The following is a 23,335-nucleotide window of genomic DNA, read 5'->3' as shown; positions in this document are numbered from 1 at the left end:
CACTATTTTGTAAATCCTTAATGGAATATTTTTCTATATCAGTAAGTGTACATAACTTAAAATGTATTATTGACTAGAGGAACTGCACTTTTGTATGTTGATACCTTTTAAATAGTAAACATCAGTAAACAGTAAACACTGTGCAAATGAACACACCAGTAGTGGTGGAAATAATAATTTAAAAGATATAAATCTGTTGTAAGTGTAATAATAATTTTATTTTGTCATTTTCTGACACCCACACACATATGCACATATACAACCACCCTCAATTTTCTTATTAATAGACAAGAAAATGTATTGATTATAAAAACTCTAAAGTTTCTCTGACCTCTAAAATTTTGATTCTGTACTTATGTTGTACACCTTTAATAGTTTTCCATGAGGCTTCTCCCATAATAACTATTTTTTTTATTAAGTTTCAAGCTTACTCTTACTTGGTTCAAGAACAGTTTCATATATATGAATAGCACTATGGAAGGTTATTCACACAAACTTAGTTAATGCTTACCACAACCTGCGATGTAGATAACATGAAAATTAAGTAATTTGTTGAATATCCCCAGATGATAAGTAGAGGGAATGGAATGAAGGCTCCTAGTTACATTTTCTTAAAGATTCTATCCATTACATCACATGAAGTTTTTTTTTGTTTTTTGTTTTTGAGACTGAGTCTCATTCTGTCCCCCAGGCTGGAGCTCAATGGCACAATCTTGGCTCACTGCCACCTCTACCTCCCAGGTTCAAGCGATTCTCCCGCCTCAGTCTCCCAGGTAGCTGGGATTAGAGGCGCCCACTACCACGCCCAGCTAATTTTTGTATTTTTAGTAGAGATGGGGTTTCACCATGTTGGCCAGGCTGGTCTCGAACTCCGGACCTCAGGTGATCCACCTGCCTCAGCCTCCCAAAGTGCTGGGATTACAGGCATAAGCCACCTCGCCTGGCCCAAGTTACATGTCTTAATATATTCACTGAGGCATTTATTAAGCACCTATTATAACAACAACAGGATTAGTATACTAGGAAAATACTCATTTAAAAGGACTGAGGAAATAAATGTACACTGGGACTGGTAAAGCAGAGTTCTAATGTAGTTATAAATAATGAAACTATGTAGAAGAATAAATAATTAGTAAATAGGTTAATAGAAAGCAAACCTAATTTTAAAATGATTGAAGGAAAAATAAATATGTCTATGTTTAGAACAACAGGAACTGGTTAACTACTAAATGCAAAATTTTATTTTTCTTTCTTTTTTTTTTCAGGACATCTGTTACATGGCTATTAATGCAAAATATTCTGACTTTTTCTTCTTTTAATCAAGTTGTACTTTGGTTTGGCTTTCTGGATGGTTCATAACAATTAAGCATGTTTGAATACTAACTGTAGCATTATTTCCCATGATCTTAAAATTTTCATCAAACTTAATAAGAAATGAGGTATATTTTACAAACAAGTTTTAGCTCTCTTGGAAGAAAGGTGGTAAATTAATAACTGGAAATACTACTATCATTATATATAATTTATTAAAGGGGCAAAGAGGTTATTTCCTTAACTACTCTGAAAAGGAGGAAGACTGTTAATAAGTTAATTTGGGACACAAGATAGTCATATTCCACATTCTTTGTTTTAAATGTAGACAGCTGAATGTTCACTCAAAAGATTTATTTCAAACCTTCTCTATGCAAAGCATTATGCTAAGTGCTATATGAATACAAACAAGGCTACCAACTAAGATGTTATCCCTAACCTCATGGAAAAGAAGATATAAGGTGTGGTTTTGTATTTACATAAATCAATTTAGCTCTCTTTGAGAACTATCTGTGGGTATCAGTATGCATTTTTAGGATTAAAACAGAAACAATGGGCCAGGCAAGGTGGCTCACACCCGTAATCCTAGCACTTTGGGAGGCCAAGGCAGGTGGGTCACTTGAGGTCAGGAGTTCGAGGCCATTCTGACCAACATGGTGAAACCCCGTCTCTACTAAAAATACAAAAATTAGCTGGGCGTGGTGGTCCACACCTGTGGTCCCAGCTACTCAGAAGGCTGAGGCAGGAGAATCACTTGAACCTGGGAAGCAGAGGCTGCAGTGAGCAGAGATCATGCCACTGTACTCCAGCTTAGGCAACACAATGAGATGCCATCTCAAAAAAAAAAAAAAAAAATGGTGCTCTGGGTCTCCTCACAGATTCACAAATTCTTTCCAACATGCTTTATTATTTCTTGATAAGATGGTCAAATGATACATACTTAAACATAAAAAAATTTAAAGCTATTCATTAAATGTACATAAAACAACATAATAATTCTTTGAATTTAGCAGTCGTATATTTGGGTCTACTTTTATTATATTGCCAACTGCTATGGTTTGAATGTTATATGTTGAAAACGATCCTTAACGCAACAGTGTTGAGAGGTTAGACCTTTAAAAGGTGATTAGGTCATAGGGCACTGGCCTCACAAATAGATCAATGTCATTATCATGGAAGTGGATTTATTTCTTTGAGAGTGGGTTTGTTATAAAAGCAAGTTTTGCCCCTTCTTGCTCTCTCTCACTTGGCCTTTGCACCTTTTGCCACGGGATGACTCAGCTGGAGGGTCCTCATCAGATGTGGCCCCTTAATCTTGGACTTCCCAGCCTCCAGAACCATGAGCCATATAAATTTATGTTCATTATAAATTACCCAGTCTCAGGTATTCTGCCATAGCAGCACAAAACAAACTAAGACACCACCTTCTGCTTCTAGCCTCAACCTGATATATCAGAGCCAAGTATGAGGGTTAATCAAAATCTTCGCCTAAGATAGATAGATAGATAGATAGATAGATAGATAGATAGATAGATAGATAGACAGACAGACAGACAGACAAATAGCTTGAGATTATGAAAGCTAAGACAAAACAGTGATAATCTGGATGCTCTGCTGTGTACTAGAATTATCCAAGGTGCAGACTGCCAGACCCCTCTACTGGAGATTTTAATTCTACAGGTTTAGGTGCACCCAAGAACCTGTGTTTTTACATAAATATATTTGGAGAAACACTGACCTTCAGAATTACCATCAATACAGAATTAGAGTTCCTAACTTACCATCTACATGTGTCATTTTTTAAGATGCCAGAACTATTATCATTTCTTTCAATATTTCTGAAGTGAAACTATGTGCTGACCTCCATAGCACACATTTACAACTATATACACCCATGTTTCTGCCCACTTCCCACCAGATAGATGAATGGATAAAGACAGGTATAGACTGATAGATCTGCCCACTCATTTACCTAATATATATTAAAGAAAGCAGATATTTTGCCTGCATATCAGAAAATAATTCAAGTGTTTAAAGATTTTCACATCTGAGAAACCTGAAATTCTATCCTAAAAAATCAACAAACAAAAGCAAAAAGCTACAACTGAAGGAAACTTCCAGGAAAGTTCTCTAAAGATTTTAAGTTATTAACAACAGTCCTTAATTTACCTGCCATCCCGTTGAGCAGCACCACCTTCTGTTACTGTCTTGACGAATATTCCCAGCTTTTCAAGTCCAGCATCTGCTCCAACACCCATTCCAATAATACTTATACCAAGACCATCCTCATCTATTAAAAAGAAAAAAAGGGGGGAGGTGAAACAACTTAAGTTTTACACTAGTCTGCAATTAGCTGGTGAGACCTACTTGCTGTTTCTAATTTTATTTTTCCTTATGGATAGGACAATAACATGCTTGCTTTAGCAGAATTCTTTTCTAAGCTACGCAGTAAGGGTATCTAATGAGATCCTCCAAAAGGCTCATGCATTTAGCATCATTTTACTACTACTGTTGGTAATTCACTGTGGTCTCAAGAAAAGGTAACAACTTGATTATTGAATAGTCACTCTGCCTTAAAACCTAGATTCTCTAAATAATGCAATGAATTATTTTAGGCGTAAGAGTACACATATTCAAACATATAATTTTAAATAAATCTGATCATAACATATCTGGAATTCCTCCTTCATTTATATGGTCTTTTCTTCTTTACTTGTTTATTCATGTTAATAAGATAGTACATGTGGCTGGGCATGGTGGCTCATGCTAGCAATCCCAGAACTTTGGGAGGCTGAGGCAGGTGGATGGCTTGAGGCCAGGAGTTCAAGACCAGCCTGGCAACATGGTGAAAGCCTGTCTCTACTAAAAATACAAAAAGTTAGCCGGGTGTGGGGGCAGGCACTTGTAGTCCCAGCTACTTGGGAGGTTGAGGCAGGAGAATCGTTTGAACCCAGGAGGCGGAGGTTGCAGTGAGCCAAGATTGTGCCATTGCACTCCACCCTGGGTGACAAAGCGAGACTCCATCTCAAAAAAAAAAAAAAAAAAAAAGATAGTATATTTGAGTACTTTCCTCTGTGCTTCTATACCCAAGAATATATACTCATCAACAACTATAATATATACATATACTTAGACATATATGAATGTATATATATGTATATATAGCTTGTTTTTCCTTCTTATTTGCTTACACAAATGAGATTATACCTACTTCTCTTTACTGCTTACTTTTTAAAAACCAATGAAGCGCCTGGGCACAGTGGCTCACGTCTGTAATCCCATCACTTTGGGAGGCTGAGGTGGGAGAATCCCTTGAGCCCAGGAGTTCAAGACAAGCCTGGGCAACAGGGTGAAACCCTGTCTCTACTACAAATAGAAAAATTAGCTGGGCATGGTGGGGCACACCTGTAGTCCCAGCTGTTTGGGGGCTGACGTGGGAGGATCACCTGAGTCTGGGAGGCAGATGTTGCAGTGAGCTGAGATCATGCCACAGTGCTCCACCATGGGCAACACTGCGAGACCCTGTCTAAAAAAAAGATAAGTCATGGATATCAATGTCCTCAATGTCCATATCTCTAAATTATTTCTAATGACTGAATAATATTTCATGGTGAGATGGTATCATAATGTATCCAACCATTCTGTATTCACATTTTTATTTCCATTTTACTGGTCCTATGAACAATACTGTGTGACTTTTTTTTTTAATTCACTTACAAATCACGTTTATCCATATTTCCATTTGTCCTTTCTGTGAATATATAAAAGATACACTATTTTGCGTGCCACATGTTTTAGTTAAAGTTCAAGGTTATTTTCTGATAGCCTCAAAGTCTTTGTAATCATGCTTTACTAGCAGCATAAAAATACTAACTAATCAACAGTGATGGATTATTAAAGAAATATTGGTCCATATACTCAACAGAATGACACTTTTAAAAGACTTTTCAGCAATAACCTTCACTTTCTTAAGCATTTTTTCTGTTTTTCTTTCTTCTTCTTCTTTTTTTTTTTTTGTTTGAGACAAGGTCTCACTCTGTTGATCAGGCTGGAGTGCAGTGGCGCCATCATGGCTCACTGCAGCCTCAACCTCCTGGGTTCTGGTGATCCTCCCACCTCAGCCTCCGAGGTGCTGGAACTATAGCCATGTGCCACCACATCTGGGTAATTTTTTGTGTTTTTTTTTTTTTTTTTGTACAGACAGGGTTTCACCATGTTGCCCAGGCTGGTCTCAACCTCCTGGGCTCAAGCAATCTCCTGCCTCAGCCTCCCAAAGTGCTGGTATTATGGATATGAGTCACCAGGCCTGGCCAGGATTCTTGTAATTAGTATTCTTCGGATGAAGGTTTATCTCATACATTACTACTTATAACCAACTTATGCCTGAAGTATTTCCAAGTACACCTGACAATCTTATATCTTTATTCTACATATGTTTTAAAAGATGTCACTTGGCAAAAGTGTGATTTGTTTGCTCAGTGGTATGCTAGAGGAATCTTTACAGTGTTTCCCCTGGATGAGCTGCCTGATGCAAACCCCAGCTGAAGGCACTTCCACATTGATTCTAAGCATAGGTGTCTCTTTAGTGTGAAAACTTTAATGCTGACTAACATAAATAATCTCTGAAGACTTTCCTCATTCATTACATTTATTAAGTTTATATACATGTGATTTCTCCTATTTATTCAAATTGTTTCTCTGGTATAAAGACTGATTTCATCAAGAGGATTTATCTTGTTAAAGATTTTCTACATTCATTATAGTTTTAAAGTTTCGCCACAGAAACTTTAAAATCTTCGTACACAGAGATTTGTTGTGTACATGAAGGTTAGATGTGTGCTGAAGGCTCTCCCACACTGGTTACATGCATAGGGTTTTTCTCTCTCCCACCATGAATTCTCTTGTGTGTATAAGGTTAGCGGATAGCTGAATTCTTATTGACATTCGTCACATTCATAGGGTTTCTCAAGAAAATGAATTTTTTTTCACACTGATGAAGGATGAATGATTGCTGAAAGCCTTCCCATAGTGTTTACATCCATGTAAGTTTTTCCCCTTAGTGTATTGCTCTTGTGTTGTTTAAGAGATGATCAATGTAGCCTCTTCCATGCAGAAAAATACCATAGAATTTCTCTCCTGTATGAAATCTCTGGTGTATATATGTATTAGTATTCTGGCTGAATTCTTGCTCACTTTCATTATACTCACAGGGTTTCTCTTCAGTATAACTTATCACATGTCAAGCCAATGTAGAGCTGTGAGTCAAACTTTCCCATACTCATTACCGTACAAAAGGCTCCTCTCAAATGTGAAATCTCCATACTGTCACACCATTAAATAATTTCTTCCTGCAACTATCTTGAGTGAAAATTACTTCTTGGTTTCTAAATCCATTTTCTCTGCCTAGACTCAGGTCTTGGTAGAATTCTCTTTCTTCCTTCCATTGCTCCTCTCATTGCTTTTAACTGGAAAATTACTCAGATTTGCAGAGCTGAAAATCCAGTTGCAGAAAAAGCAATATTAACTCAAGCCATCCTCAATTCTAATGCAAATTACTTACAAGGACAACATGATGACTGAAGGGCAATACAAGAAAGAGCACAATCAACGCACAGAGACCAGAAGACTGATGTTCTCCAGCATCTTATTTACATACAGCTTTCTCTGAGTGAAGTCTGGAACCTCATCCTTAAAGGCCACTTATTATTCCTGTGGCTGACCCATCGAGAACCCAGCTGCACCCTGTCTTCCTCTCCATACATTCCTAGGGACAGGCAAAGCACCAAGGCAAAACAGCCATAAAATGACGGCAAAGACAGAGGGACTATGTTATTATGGAAGACACTATTGTCATACTATGGAGCCCAAAGCTTATTTTCTAACTTCTGGTTTCCCATTTTGGTTAAGACTCTCCTGCCACAAGCCTAGATGATATATGCAGTCATTTAAATTTTCTTTACAACATCTTTAATATGTTATTATTTAACCCATGTAGAGTTATTTATTTTTACCTATGCTGTAATGAAGGTATCCAACTTTAGATTCTTCTAGATAGATTCTCAGTTATGCCAGAACAATTTATAAAGCACATAATTACTTCTAAGCTGAAATATCATGTGTGTCATATATTAAATTCTCACACATACTAACATCTTTTTCTGGATTTTCTATTTTGTTCCACTGATCAATTGCCATTTGAATACAATTTGTTCTGATTACAAAAGCTTTACATTATATTTAGATATTTGGAAAATTAAGTCATTCATATTCCTTTTCATACTTAAGTCTGTATTTCTCCAGACTTAAATTTTACCAAAAAAATTTAATACTGTTTTTTGCAATTCTCCTCTCCCAACCCAACTTTGTTGGCAGTTCTATTTGGAGCCTTCTTGTCCAAGAATATGGTTTGTCTTTCAATTTGCTTTCAAATAGAAATGACTTTCAAAAAGATGTTATTATTTTATCTAGATAAATTTCATGTTTTTCTTAGTAATAAATATTTTGTTGTTTTGGTGCTACTGTAAATAAAATATTTTTCCCATTTTCATTTCTAAATTCTTAATGTGATTACATAGAAAAAATTGATTTTTATACATATCTTGAATGTAACCTCTTCCTCCACAAATTATTTTACCAAATCTAATATTGAATCAATTTGGTTTTCTAGATAGATATGGATATGAATATATCAGCAAAAGATGATGCTTTTCATCTTTTATTTGCTGTTATTTATACTGGTCATTTCATTTAAAGGGCATTACAAATTTGATTTCTGGTTTTAATTAAAATATCTTTAGTGTTTACTCAATTTAGAATTAGAATTCTCTGTAGGTATTGTAAATTTATAGTTTGCATAAATTTAGGCAGCTTCCATCATGTGTTAATTTACAGTCTTTCTTTAAAGTGGTAAATGTTACCAAATTGACATCTTTTCATACCAATTTGACATGAAATTTAAAAAATTTAAGGGCTTTTCCTTTAAATTGTATGTGGATGAATCTTTGAATAATGAACCACTCTATATCCTTGTATCTAAAACTCCATTTGATCCTAATGAGTCTTTCTTTCTTTTTTTTTTTTTTTTTGAGACAGAGTCTTGTTCTGTCACCCAGGCTGGAGTGCAGTGGTGTGGTCTCGGCTCACTGCAACCTCCACCTCCCAGGTTCAAGCAATTCTTCTGCCTCAGCCTCCTGAGTAGCTGGGACTACAGGCACGTGCCACCACGCCGGGCTAATTTTTTTTATTTTTAGTAGAGATGAGGTTTCATGTGTTAGCCAGGATGGTCTCAGCCTCCTGATTTCGTGATCCGCCCATCTCAGCCTCCCAAAGTGCTGGGATTATAGACATGAGCCACCGCACCTGGCCTTTTCTCTTCAACTATTTCTATATTTGATATTTTATTTCATTTAGCATTTTAAAATATATATTCACAATTGTAGTTGTATTATAGCAATCTTTTTTGTAGCATATTAGTTTTGGGTATAAACTTATATGGTATTTCAATGAAATGAAGAGTTTTCCTTTATTATCTATGATCTAAAATAGTTTAACACTGGCTTTATGCATTCTTTAAAGGTACAATAGAATCATCTGGTTGTGATGACATTTTAATGTTTTATCTGTAGTTATCATTCTAGTTTCTTCTATAGCAATTAGTCTATTTTACTAAAGTTGATTCTGGTAATTCAAATTTTGTTAGGACATAAATTATTTCTGGGCATTCACCTCATTTGACAAAGAAATGCAGTGACTGACTGATCTTTTATAGTAACACTATATATTTTTCTTCCATTCCTAATTTGCATAAGTTTACTTTCAATTTTCTCCACTCAGTATTATGATTGATATATTTTATAGATGTATTCAATGAAAAGGATTTGTATTACCTTATTTTACTAGATTTTCTTTTCTATGTTATTAATAGTGTTTTTACATATACTACTCTTCCTTGCTAGTTTGTTTGATTTATTTGGTTTACTTTTCCTGATTTCTAAGACAGGTCCATTTTTTGCTTTTCAAGTTTTTTATTTTAAAGAAAGAAATCAAGGATATAGCTTTTCCTCTGAGTAAAGGTTTTGCTGTGTGCTACAGACTTTTTTTTTTTTTTTTTGAGACGGACTTTTTAAGTTTAATCCTTTCCACGATGGTTTGGGATATGAGTTATAATTTTCTCTTCAATCAAACATCTACCTAGGAATGTATTATGTAATTTCCAAATTCTCATATTAAAGGAACCTTTAACATTTTTCCAAAGGATAAAACTTTTTCTTTTAAAATACAGCTTGAAATAGAGTTCATTATATTAACCCACTCCTTGATTTTTGTTTTCTGTCCATAAATCTGTCCAGTTCTGAAAGAAATATATTGAAATCTCCAATAATTGTATTTGATTTGGTTACCTTCTAGTTTAATTTTTAGTATGAAATATGGCAACATACAAATGAGTTTAATATTTATCTACAAAACATTATGTTTAAAGCATAAAAATAAAACAAACATCCATGTACAAAGACACAGAATATTACCGACATCACAAAAGCCACTATATATCCCTCCCTGACACAGCAACTCTTTCCTCAGTGACCATTATACTAAACATTGTGTTAATCATTCCCTACTTTTTAATACTACTTTTTAAAAACTACTCATTTGTGTATCCCAAAACAATATGCTATTTAATTTTTTTGGTTTGAAATGTAAGTAAATGCAATTATATTACACTAAATGGTTTCTTCTGTGGTTTGCTATTTTTACTTTCCCTCGATATCATGTTAAGAATCATACATACTGCTGCATGAAGTGTGGCACCTCCATTTTCGCTGCTGAGTAATATTTTATTGCCTAGATATGCTACAATTTATAGACCCTTTCTACCATTGATGAATATTTGGATTGGTCTTGTTTTTTTGCTACTACCAAAATAAGTAATATGATGGCCCAGCTGTGTTTGTATGGCCAATGAACTAAGAATGGCTTTTATGTTTTAAAATGTATGAAAAATGTAAGCATTACTCTTTAATTCACTTTAACTCCAAATGAAAGTGTCTTTTAACAGGAGTAATCCATCAGTCATGTTTGGTGTAATATGACTAGTATTCTTCATACTTTTTCATTTAAGCAATTGTATGTTTAATACTTCATAGTTTTCACCTCTTTTTTCCTTGCCCTTGCTGTTTTGAACAAGCTGCTCTTTGTTTCACTCCCTCCCTGCTAAATTGGACAGTGAATTACTCAGATAAAGTATGTAGGCAATGTGTTCTTTAAATCCTTAGATAGCAGCAGATGTCTTTCTTTCACCAGGATAGGTAAATGCTTTCTGGGATGGATATGGGATTCTTGGATCACCATCCTTTTTACCCTCAGTGGCATGTAAAATTATTTCTACATCTCCCTGCTTCTAGTGTTACAGTCTGATGCTAGTCTAATTATTTTGCCTTTGCAAGTATATTTGCTTGTTTGTTTGGTTGGGTATTTTTTGGCCTGGAATTTTTTAAGCTCTTTCACTTTATCTTTGAATATTAGGATTTTTTCCCAGGCTATGCCTAAGTGTGGGATCAGTTTGGGGTTATTTAGCCCTCTCACTCATAAATGGATAAGTTCTTCCTAATATAAGCCTCAGATCTTCTTTTTAAGGACAAGAAATTTTTCTTCTATGATTATTATTAGTCTGTCCTTCTCCATTGTCGTTTTTCTCTTCTGTTGCCTACAACTTATATATTGGGACTCTTTCATGATTTTTCTTGGATTTTTGCTCTGTCATTTGAGAATTCTTTTTGGAATATCTCTCAAACGTCATCTTCTAGATCGCCAACTTAAGTCTCAACAATAACTATCCTTTTCAATTCTTCCGGTGAAATTTTTCATTTCAAAATCAAGAAATTTGTTCTTGTTGCTAAGTTGCTCAAGAACGTCTTTTTTTAAATCTGTATAAATTCAGGGGAGTACATGTGCAGGTGTGCTATATGGATATATTACATAGTGGTGAGTCTGGGCTTTTAGTGTAACCTTTACCTGAATAGTTCGCATTGTGCGCAAGTGGTTATTTGTCAAGCCCCATCCCCCTCCCACCCTCGTAAACTTTTGGAGTCCCCAGTGTCTATTACTCTGCTCTGTATGTTGATGTGTACCCACTGTTTAGCTCTCACTTATAAGTGAGAACATGCAGCAAATAACTCTGTGTTTCTGAGTTATTTCATGTAGGGATAATGGCCTCCAGCTCCAACCATGTTGCTGCAAAAGACATGATTTCATTCTTTCTTATAGCTGCACAGTAGTCCATAGTGTATACATGCCCCATTTTCTTTATCCAGTCATCTATTGATGAATACTTAGGTTGATTCCATGACTTTGCTATTTCCAAGACTATTTCCATTGGATAGTATTCTGTTAAACATACAAGCACAAGTCTCTTTTTGATACCATTTCTTTTCCTTTGGGGAGATATTCAGTAGTGGGAGTGCTTGGTCAAATGATAGTTCTATGTTCAATTATTTGAGAAATCTCCACACTGTTTTCCAGAGATTGTACTGATTTACATTTCCCCCAACAGTATCTAACCATTTTCTTTTCTCTGCATCCTTGCTAACATCTGCTGTTTTTGACTTATTAATAATAGCTGTTCTGACTGGTGTGAGATGGTGTCTCATTGTGGTTTTGATTTCCATTTCTCTGATGATTAGTGATGTGGAGTGTTTTTTCATGTTTGTTGACTGCTTGTAAGTCTTCTTTTAAGAAATACCTGTTCGTGTCCTTTGCCCACTTATTAATGGGTTTCTTTCTTTTTGTTGTTGTTGTTGTTGAGTATTTGAGTTCCACATAGATTCTGAATATTAGTCCTTTGTTAGAGGCATAATTTGCAAATGTCTTTTTTTAAGCCATGCTTGAGTATCCTTGGGTAGGTTTTTGTTTCTTTTTTTCTTGTTATTCAAGTCATCATCTGTTTGTTCTACTCTTTTTTTTTTCAAAGCTCTCTCAGAGGTGTTATTTCTCTGTTCACTGAGTGACAGTTCAGTTCTTGGGTGCCCATCTTACATCTTACCTGGTAATCTCTGATCCCACGGGTCAGCAGTTACTACAGTAGGCAGGGTGTCATTCCTGGGAGAGAAATCAGAAGGAAGCCTTTCTGCTCCCTCTTCTCCCTGCTCTCTTTCAACCTTCTCCCCTCAGAGGGGGAGAGGATGTAGCCCTACTATTTAAATTTCCTTGGATTCTACCGCCTTTATTAAAAATCTCCATAATTTTCCAATTATCCACCAAAACAAAAGAAAGCGACCATCTGCCCCAAGCTCTCATATACCAGCTCTTTCTGGGCTCTCAGCTGTAGCAGCCCTTTCCAGGAATACCAACAAAGCATTAGGCCTCACTTATACCTCCCTGATCCTAACCACCATCGCAGCCAGCTAAGATAGATGGGTTTCAGTTGGGAGTAAAACTTTCAATCCACCATCTACTCAGAATCCATATCAACTATTTTTGAAACTTAATAAATAAGATCCTCTGTTAGAATTAAAATTTTATCCAATCCTTAGAAAAAAGGCTACATTTTGGAAAAATAATTCTGTATTATTAACATAGCAACATAATGATATTAACACTGTAGCACTCACGAACCTTTCTCTAGCTCCACTGGGAAAAGTTCCAGCTTTTCTACACGTTTTTCAAGTTCATACTCAGCTGAAGCAGCCACAGGGTCAACTTCGTCATTTCTCCTGTCATAGTCTTCATTGGAGTATGTGTTGAAAACCTGTAGTAAGAGGCCAACAAGATGATAATACAGAAAAAAAAAAAAACCTGCCAGGTATCCAAAACTATGTAAGTTTAAACATTCATGTGATGAATTTCTTCTAAACAACTGTTTTGTCTTTAAAATCAATTGAGATGTTAAGAAAAGGAAAATTGAGTCAGTATAAAAGTAACTTACTAATTTTTAAAATGTGTAAGCGATAGTACCACTTTTAATCATTTAAGAGACAAAGTAGCCTCAGAACACATTATGTGAATAGCAATATTTATCGCCTTTTATAGAATCAGAATGAATCATATTAGCTGGAACGCTCTGCTGTTTCCCAATAAAACTAAGGTAAACCATCTTGAAGCTACCTAAGCAAATACCTACACTGAACCTGTTTCATGGTATGACCTATACTAGCCCTGAAGTAGCAGGGTGTCAGTATTATAATGCTGTCTCAATCATAAGATCACTGAACCTGACCTCCATTCTAACACTGTCCTGGGCTCTTGTTTGTCATCCCTCATTTTACTTGCATATACATTTAAATTGAATTCTCATTGAAACTTTTATGAAATTATTATGAAAATATCGCTAAAGGGCTGTACAGCAAACAGGATATTGAAGCTGTTTATTTCTTACCTACATCATTTAAAAGACAACTAAATGTGGCCTTCAGATATAGCCATAAGAAACTTGATTGTCCTTATTTCTGCTGAAATGTTTATCTTAAAAGGAACTGAAGTAGTTGTCCAATCCCTCTCTTAATACAGGAAAAAATATATGAAAGAAATAAATGTATAATTCATCAAGTCCAATTAATATACATAACAGACACTGGCATTTTCAATAAAATTCAATAATTATTATGCATCTAAACTGTGCCTAAAGAAACTGTGCTCCCCCAAAAATCATAAAATCTAGGATTAGATTTTAAAATAATATTTATAAAAAGATGCAGTAGAAACAGAAGGCAGAAAAGAAGGCCAAAGACTAAAGAAATCATGTCTATTTCCTACAAAGCTGGCCCTGCTGTTCTATGGACACTTTACATTTGTATTATTGGAAAACAAGTAATTCCTATATTCTATATATGGTAACCTATAAACCAAAAATACATACGCATATATAGAAGCAGATATAATGTAGCTCCTAATGGTACATGCTTCTTAAATAGTATCATTTGTAGGATTTGTACCTGAGTGGGTACTGTTTTCTTCTTGACTTTCAACATGTTTTCATAGCCTCATGCCACTTGGATCCCTATTTGGTCTCTACCATGTTTCTTCACCATAGTAAACCTTACTGCATCAAAATGCACATTTCCATAGTATAGGGTTAGTGCTTTTATTTATCTTTTCATAATATTCATAAATATTAGCATGTTTCCCATGCTAATATTTTTCTTTTTCTTTTCTTCTTCTTTTTTTTTTCATTGAGATAGGGTCTTGCTCTGCACTCCAAGCTGGAGTGCAGTAGTAGGCTCACTGTAGCTTCTGCTTTCTGAGCTCAAGTAATTCTCCCACTGTAGCCTCCTGAGTAGCTAGGATTACAGGCACATGCCATCACACTCAGCTAATTAAAAAAAATTTTTTTTTAGAGGCGAGGTCTCACTATATTGCCCATGCTGGTCTTGAATTCCCAGGCTCAAGCAATCCTCCCATCTTGGCCTCCCAAAGTGCTGGGATTACCAGCTTAAGCTACTATGCCTGGCCTAATATTCTTCTTACATTGTCATACTTACAACTTTCTCTTAGACAGCTCTTTTGATCCTTCACTTCCTCTTATATTTTTAGTAATCACTTATTCACATTTATTCATTCAACAATATTTTACAGTTCTAAACTCATGTTTGACATTGTGCTAGGCACTGGAGAAGGAATAGTTTCTAGTAGCTTACAGTTTAGGAAGGACACAGAAATCAAAATAAGCACCTACAAAATAATGTGGTAACTGATATAAAAGCAGCATATACCAACTATTTTGTTTTTATTTTCCTGAGAAGGTAAAGAAGTTGTGAAGGCAAAGATATTTGACCTGAGTCTTGAAGAATAAACAGAAATTCACATATTTGACTGCAGAAGAGAAGGAATATATATTTCAAATATAAGACCCTAGACCAAAATATATATACACACACATACACATATCTATAGTTTTTTGGAAAACATTGATAGTTGAGTGTACTGCAATGGAAAATGCCTATAGAAGCAAGCTTTACACACAAAATAACAGTTAGCTGGGCCTGGGTCTCATGCGTCCCGGAAATCACTGGCAGATATGACTGGAAATTATTCATTAATATTTACCACTTCTCTACTTCTGCTAATAGGTCCCGGTTTATGACTGCAAAACAATGGTTTAAACAGTATTCATTCTGGAACATCACTCAATTTCACTAATACTAGTAAGTAAATAAATATGTATGCGTGTGTCTATATATAAAGTAAGTATGAAATAACTGTTTCAAATAAATAACTCCTTCCCAACATTTTTTTTTTCAGGATCCCAAACACTCTGATATCAGAATGTTCTTCCCTATTCGGGCTAGTTTATAAAGTTCATTTGAGAGTATTCTGAAATTAAATAAAACAAACCTAAAACAGTAAGACTGCATATTGGAAAATGATACTGTGTATAATTTTTGAGACATCTAGCAATCAGATGACTATGCCACCATTTCATTCTTTAATCTCAGCATTTTGGGAGGCCGAGGTGGGCAGATCATGAGGTCAGGAGATCCAGACTGTCCTCGCTAACACGGTGAAACCCCATCTCCACTAAAAATACAAAAAATTAGCCGGGTGTGGTGGCAGGCACCTGTAGTCCCAGCTACTAGGGAGGCTGAAGCAGGAGAATGGCATGAACCCAGGAGGCGGAGATTGCAGTGAGCTCCCGCGCCACTGCACTCCAGCCTGGGTGACAGAGCGAGACTGTCTCAAAAAAAAAAAAAAAAAAAAAAAAAAGAAAAGAAACGAAAAAGAAAAGAAAAGAAAAAGAAAAAGAAAATAATGTAATACACTCTTCATCTTCAGCTTACTTATAGGCTTGTAAATTAAGTAGGCATGCAGAAAACACTGCAAATTATTGAAAAAGAAAAGCCAGAAGTCGTTATTTGCAGATTAAACAACTGATTACTTGGAAAATCCAAGAGCTTTAACAGAAAAAGTATTAGAACTAATAAGAGTTCAGTAAAGCGATGTAACTTTTAAAACTCAATACCTATATACAAAAACTTAGAAAATACAACAAAATGATCAAAACAATAAAACACTTAGTAATTACCAACCATAAATGTACAAGCATTTTTCTCTCTATAAAACTAAGTGATGAGTACAAAAAGCCCTGAAGAAAGTGCAATGCCATATTATTTCCCTGGATTAAAATCCTTAATATTATAAAGACATCCACATTTCTAAATAACTGTAAATATCAGTTTACCCTAAGTTAATTTATGAATTCAAGACAATAAAAAATAAAATCCTACCTACATTTTTCGTGAAAACTAACAAGCAGTTTGAAAAAGAATAAGGGTAGAATCAGGCCCTAGTGGATATCAAAACACATAATAAAACTTCGCTTATTAAGGCAATATAGTTTGAGCTCTGGGATAGATCCATTTTTATATTCTATTCTGTTCCACTCCTTTTCTATTCAAATTAGAGTGGTCTATTTAATAAATTATGAAAAGAATTAGATACCTATCTGAAAAACATTCCTATTTATATCACAAAGAAAAATACAATTCAGAACAAAAATATATACATATATAAAAAGTGCCAAAAGAAAATTTGGGACAATGTTTAGCTAACAGGTTAGAAAGAAATTCACAGATCCTAGAAGTTCTAAAGGAAATAAATAATTTGATTAAAAATAAAGCCCAAAAACTTCTAGGCAATAAAATATACCATAATGAAGTTAGAAGAAAAGTCACAGATTAGCAGAAAGTATGACCAAATATTAAGATGAAACATGAATATTCCTAATATATAAAGGGCTTTATCAACTCAAACAATTGCATGTATAAGTAGGTAAAGGAAATTGAGAATTGAACAAAGAAGAAATACTAATGTCCAATTAATGATATAAAGATGTTCAGCTTTATTAAAAATTAAGCAAATGCAAATTAAAACAAGGAGATACTATGCATTCATCCATAAGAATAGATTTTTTTTAAAGACTACCACATCCAGGCAGGACACAGTGGCTCATGCCTGTAATCCCAGCATTTTGTGAGATCTAGGAGGGCCGATCACTTGAGGTCAGGGGCTTGAAACCAGTCTGGCCAACATGGCGAAACCCCATCTCTACTAAAAATACAACAATTAACTGGGCGTGGTGGCGTGCACCTCGGGAGGCTGTGGCAGAATTGCTTGAACCTGGGAGGCAGAGGTTGCAGTGAGCTAAAATCATGCCATTGCACTCAAGCCTGGGTGACATAATAAGACTCAAAAAAACAAACAAAAAAAAGACTACAACATCCAGTGTTTGTGAGGATATAGAAAAAAAGGATACTTTTGAAGAGGAAAGCATAACTAGAAAGTAGTTATCAATATTTTAAATGTAAATGTCTTTTACATAATCATGTCACATTTAAGTGTTTACAGAAATACTTGCAAATGTGTACAAAGATGTATTTCAAAAGAAGTTCATTACAGCACTATCTGTAATAGCCCAAAGCAGGAAATTGCCTAATTGTCCACCAGTAGAGAAAATGGCTTGCTAAATCATGATATATACAAATATGTAATTCAATGCAGTGATTGAAGAGATGTATATCTCTCTACTGACATGGAAGACCCCAAGATACATACATCGTTAAGCTGAAGAGCATGCTGCAGATAAAGAGAAAGATATTCCCAATTCATACGATCCCCAATTGGTATGGTCCCAATTTTAACCTAATTTAAAGCCCCCTAAATTCCCTAGCTATGTAGCACTTGCCAAGTTGTAAAACCATGCTAAGGCGCAGTCTCCTTATTTACAAAATGGTTTTTATAATAATGCCTATCCCCATAAGAGTATTAGGAAAATAAAATGAAATAGTCCATGTAATTATGCTTGGTTCAATGAGGGGAGAGGAAAAGCTTTCTCAGGGTAATATGAGGGATAATATTTCCCCTGATACCTACTACCCATATCATACTCTCTTTTTTTAAATTAAATTTAAAAACATTTTTAATAGAGATTGGGGTCTCACCATATTGCACAGGCTGGTCTTGATCTCTTGGCCTCAAACGATCCTTCCACCTTGGTCTCCCAAAGTACTGGGATTATAGGCATGAGCCCAGCCTCATACTCTCTTTCATAAACATGTTTTGAATATATCACCCACTAGGATGTTTAATGCCCTTTAAGCAAAAATCTGCATAACTGACTTAGTATTAGAACATAGATTAGGCTGCCAAAATCCCCACCTATGTCTAGAGCAATGCACTGTCATTACACAATGGCTCATGGCCTGCCAGGCTTTCTGTGTTTTCTCTGACCAGGAAGCCCTTTCATCTACATGATCTTGATTCTTTCCATTTTCTTACAATAGTTCTATTATTTTTATTAACCTTAATTGCTCTACAAAAAAATGGATAATTAATCAGATAATAATCAGAGCATGACTCCTCCTGGTATTCCAGCAACACAAAAAACTCTAAAGGCCAACAGCATTCTGAGTCCTAATGTTCAACACCAACAAGATATATGTATTTTTGTAGTTCAAGCTACCTTCACATTGTTCCTGTTTTATTTCACTGAGAAAAGTAAACAAAAGATGTTTAAATTTAAGACTTCTTGTTTCAGAGCCAATAAGTGATATTCTGGTTTCTCGATCAAAGGAAACAAAACAAGACCTCATCCACTGCTTCACAGCAGAGACAGGCTTTCAGGGGTAACAAGTTTACAAACACGGTTAGCAAGGACATTTCTGAACGAACAACCCAAGGCTATGAAAAGCAAATAAAGTAAAAATTAGCTTATTTTAAGATTTCAACTAGAATCATTATCTTATATACATTTTCAGTAGTTTGAACCACAACACTTTTTCAAAACAGCAGCAATACATTTTCAACAATAAGAAAAAAACTTATTTCCTTCACTTCTTTATGACACATTTTCTTTAATCAATGCAGGTCTAAATAAATTCAGCATATTCTATAAATACTGACTGGAAGGAATCTCCCACAATGCTTCCACACGGTCTCAGTTCAGGCTATGGTCCAGGTTCTGTAAAATCTTCCTGACACATCAAAGATGAAAAATGTTCCAGGTCCTAGCATGCTGAGTTTCAGATGATGGCTAGCAAAGTGTGCTCCTGGAGATAAGCCAAACATTCACATGCTTCCACAAACAGGTTACACTCATCACAAGCTTCCTTGGCAGAACCCTGACTCACCTTCACATGATTTCAGTGGCTCTGCAAAATAAGCTCTAAATTGAAACTAACAATAAGCCTGGAGAAGATAGCCACATATTAACATTCCAAAAACCAACCTGGCAAGCCTCACAAAGGAGGATTCTAATAGCTTTAGAGCAATGTATAATCTCAACTTTCCTTTTCTTCCCCCAAATTAAGGTTAGTTCACTGATCGACAATAGGTAGAATTATCTAGTGTATTGATTGTCCAGTGTGTGCCCGGGAGTATGTTAGGTGCTTGCTGCAAAATGAAGTAAGCCAAACTGGAGTTTATAATCATCAGACAATTTAGGGTAAACACTGGTAGTCTCCAAAGATGTAAACAGCTGAGGGCTTTAGTCTACTCCTCTGCAAGCTTTTAACATAAGGAGTATGTTACAATGAAAAGAAATTTCAAACTAAATTCTGCTCATGTAAAAACATTGCTTAACTGGAAGGTGCAAAAAACAGACTCATAGGCCTATCTCATAAAACTCTAAAATCCCAGATTTCTGTCCTTAAAAGTCATTTTGAAAAGTAGCCTGTGTGAAAGGTTTACTTAAAGCAGTTGCAACTACATTCTACAGTAGGATACATTTAACCTTCTAAGTGGATCACTCACCAGAATCCTACATACCACAAAACAGGATCAAATGGAGTACTAGTTAGGTTATTACTCCAAAAGCTGTTAATCTGCAAGCCTCGCCTGACCCAAAGTCTAGTTACATAAAATATTTCTAAGGCTAACCCCTGTATCTTCAACATCATTCATTTCACCAATTATTTGTAGCATACTTAACGTTAATACATTGTCTTGTGTAGATTTAAAGTACCAATATCTGGGTGCAGGCTTCTAATCAGTGTCTTTCAAATAATAACTTACTAATCCTAGTGTGTGGATTCATGATTGAAATACCTAGAAAATTAACTAAAGGGTCCTAAAACAAAGTTACTCCCATAAATATTATGTTATATATGCCAAAGTACTTTAAATTATAGACAATATAGCACTTTACACAAATTATCTCTTTACCAACCAATCTAGGGAGTAAGGCAGAAAAGGGTAAAGAGAGTTCCCACGGTTTTTCATATTTTTACACGAGAAGTTCAGAGGACAATACACATGCTATATATAAGACAAAGTCTATTAGGACAAAAAGTACATTTCACTAATTGTAAGCCTAGTGTTTTAATGGATTACTAAAGAACAAGAAGTTGGGCTGGGCGTGGGGGCTCACGCCTGTAATCCCAGCACTTTGGGAGGCCGAGGCAGGCGGATCACCAGGTCAGGAGATCTAGACCAACCTGGCTAACACGGTGAAACCCCGTCTCTACTAAAAATACAAAAAAATTAGCTGGGCGTGATGGCAGGTGCCTGTAGTCCCAGCTACTCAGGAGGCTGAGGCGGGAGAATGGCATGAACCCAGGAGGCGGAGCTTGCAGTGAGCCAAGATCGCACCACTGCACTCCAGACTCCAGCCTGGGCAACAGAGCGAGACTGTCTCAAAAAAAAAAAAAAAAAAGAAGTGAAAAAAAACCAAACATACTCTATATAATGGGAGGTAGAGAGCATGCTAGTTCAAACGGCAACACAAGGAAGCCTACGTTTGTCAAGGTTTTCCAGAAAAATAGAATTAATATCTTTATATGTGTTTTTTTTATACATACTATATATATTTATATTAAAATTGATTTTAAGGAATTGTCTCATATGACAGTAGGGACTAGCAAATCCAAAATCTGCAGGGTAGGCCTGCAGGCCAGAGACCCAGGAAAGAACTAATGTTGCAGTTCAAGTCCAAAGACAGTCTGCTGGCAGAATCCCCTCTTCTCTGATGGAAGTCAGTCTTCTTCTATGAAGGTCTTCAATGAATTTGATGAGGCCAATCCACGTTAAGGAAGGTAATCTGCTTTAGCCCACTGCTTTAAATGTTCATCTCATCTAAAAGATACTTCATAGACTCTAGAATAATGTTTACCCACATATCTGGGTACTGTGGCCTACCAACGTTGACCCATAAAATGAGTCATCACAAAGTCTTTCAAACAGGATATTCTCTGGCTGCAAAACTGAACTTTTTGGTATTTGACAAGGTAGTCAGGAATATGACTTCCTTACAAGTAAGTAGAAATAAGACCGCAGATTTACAACACCTACAAGTTACAGAGACACTTTTGACAAGTTAAAGCATTTCATAAGGATAATATCATTATTTCCATACTTAAACTCCTAGCTTAGAAAAGAAAAAGCCAACCTAGCTAGGACTGCAGTAGGAAAGAATATTGAGGGGAAACTGCATGGGGCCCACATGTAAGGCAGCGGTCAATGAGAACTTGTGCTGCCACACGCTGTGGGCTTGGCCAACTCACTGGGCCTTTCTGAGCTCAGGCTTTTATGTGCAAGAAGGTAGGATCGATTATGATACTGAGGCTGCTGGATTCTAGGGTCAATCGCGACTCTGAAACCTAATCAAAATTCTTATCACTATGTGTCTCTGATGACAAGTCTTCAACTATTCATACCTACATTTGATGGTAAGTTAACTAAAAGCATGAATTCTAAGTTGTGGCTTATTTATAGCAAGTTATCTGTTCCACGTTTTTTAATATTGCCACATAAATACACAATCCTATAGAGCATTTCAGGAATGGATAATCTGGGACCCATATTTCTATCTAGAAGATATTATTATGTTTTTTAGATAGTTAAGCTTTTAGTTAATTTTACCACTCTGCTAGTTTCATTCTCATATCTAAATCATCTAATAGGCATTATAAATGCCAAACCAAAACACTTAGTCTACTGCCCTCCACTAAATATAGGTCAGCAAGGCAGCTGAAACCCCTCTACCCAGGTAAAAGATAATATCCATAAGCTACTTTTGCAAGGAGAGGTTTCTGAGGGATACCCCATTTGAGAGCATTAACAGGCTGGATGCTCTCCTTAACAACCAAAAATCCACATAATGACTCAAACTCTGAATTCAGCAGTTAATGTACAAAAAGGAGGAAAAGGAAATGTAAAGATTAATACATGTAAAAATCATAAAAGTAAGTTTTTTCTTGCAAAACTACGGGAAAAAAAGAGAAAGTAAAGGTCAATTTATATTTGTTCATATAAATAGTAAGCTCACTTCTGTAATCCATGTGAGCTAGCCCAAAGAAAGGTAAACTAGTCTATTTATGAAGATGTTAGTGCCGCTAAGCAGTATTTCCAGTTCTCCTTCTGGGTAGAAAGGGTATTTTCTTTCTTTACCCTTTGTTGCCTTGGGGTGGGGCTATGTAAATAATTCTCGCCAATGGGTTCTGGGCAGTGGTGGTGTGTGTCACTTCTTGACTGAGCCATTTTACTGCGGAGGCAAGACCTTTCAGTGTTTTTTTCTTCTTATATTTCTGGAATCTGGAAAGTACGTATGATGGAAATGGACAAGTTTAAGTACCTTAGTGACTATACTGAATACAAGGAGCTTCCCTTTGACCTAACATGGACATGTAACATCAGTGAGAAGTAAACATCTGTTAGAAGATATTAGGATCATTTAGTAATGCAATATAAACTAGCCTATGTTAACCAGGCTACCATCTAAAAGAATCACTTGCTCACTATTACTATGGATTGCAAAGATCCTGTCTTGGTTTAAAAACACAAGATTTGGGGCCAAGAGATTAATATAACTAAGAACGTTTCACCTCATTTTAAGTGAAAACATTAATGACAATAAATCAGACAAAGAGGCCGGGCGCGGTGGCTCACGCCTGTAATCCCAGCACTTTGGGAGGCCGAGGCGGGCGGATCACGAGGTCAGGAGATCGAGACCATCCTGGCTAACACGGTGAAACCCCGTCTCTACTAAAAATACAAAAAATTAGCCGGGCGTGGTAGCGGGCGCCTGTAGTCCCAGCTACTC

At 35.8% G+C, this 23,335-nt stretch overlaps 1 protein-coding gene and 1 long non-coding RNA gene across 46 annotated transcripts in view; one reads left to right on the top strand and one right to left on the bottom strand.

The window, feature by feature from the left end:
* PPP1R9A (protein phosphatase 1 regulatory subunit 9A) overlaps positions 1 to 23,335 on the bottom strand; it is a 389,180-nt gene that overhangs the window by 172,103 nt on the left and 193,742 nt on the right. For 43 of the 44 annotated variants that reach the window (XM_047420574.1, XM_047420585.1, XM_047420580.1 and 40 more), the window contains 2 exons: positions 12,922 to 13,054; positions 3,481 to 3,601 (listed from right to left, as the gene is read on the bottom strand). In XM_047420574.1, coding sequence (XP_047276530.1) covers positions 3,481 to 3,601; positions 12,922 to 13,054 — 254 coding nt within the window. Of the gene's footprint in view, positions 1 to 3,480; positions 3,602 to 12,921; positions 13,055 to 23,335 lie in introns of those variants that run through there. The other variant, XM_047420595.1, reaches the window with a different exon arrangement.
* The window catches only part of PPP1R9A-AS1 (PPP1R9A antisense RNA 1), a 178,641-nt gene that overhangs the window by 90,020 nt on the left and 65,286 nt on the right, over positions 1 to 23,335 (top strand). Inside the window, exon 3 of one of the 2 annotated variants that reach the window (NR_183324.1) lies at positions 15,372 to 15,446. The exons of the other annotated variant lie outside the window; for it this stretch is intronic. This is a non-coding gene — a long non-coding RNA (PPP1R9A antisense RNA 1). The remainder of the gene's footprint in view (positions 1 to 15,371; positions 15,447 to 23,335) is intronic. 2 annotated transcript variants of the gene reach the window in all.

Source organism: Homo sapiens, chromosome 7 (genome assembly GCF_000001405.40).
Source record: "Homo sapiens chromosome 7, GRCh38.p14 Primary Assembly".
Taxonomy (NCBI): Eukaryota; Metazoa; Chordata; class Mammalia; order Primates; family Hominidae; genus Homo; species Homo sapiens.
Note: the sequence above shows the minus strand (reverse complement) of the source record. Positions and strands in the feature narration are given on the sequence as shown.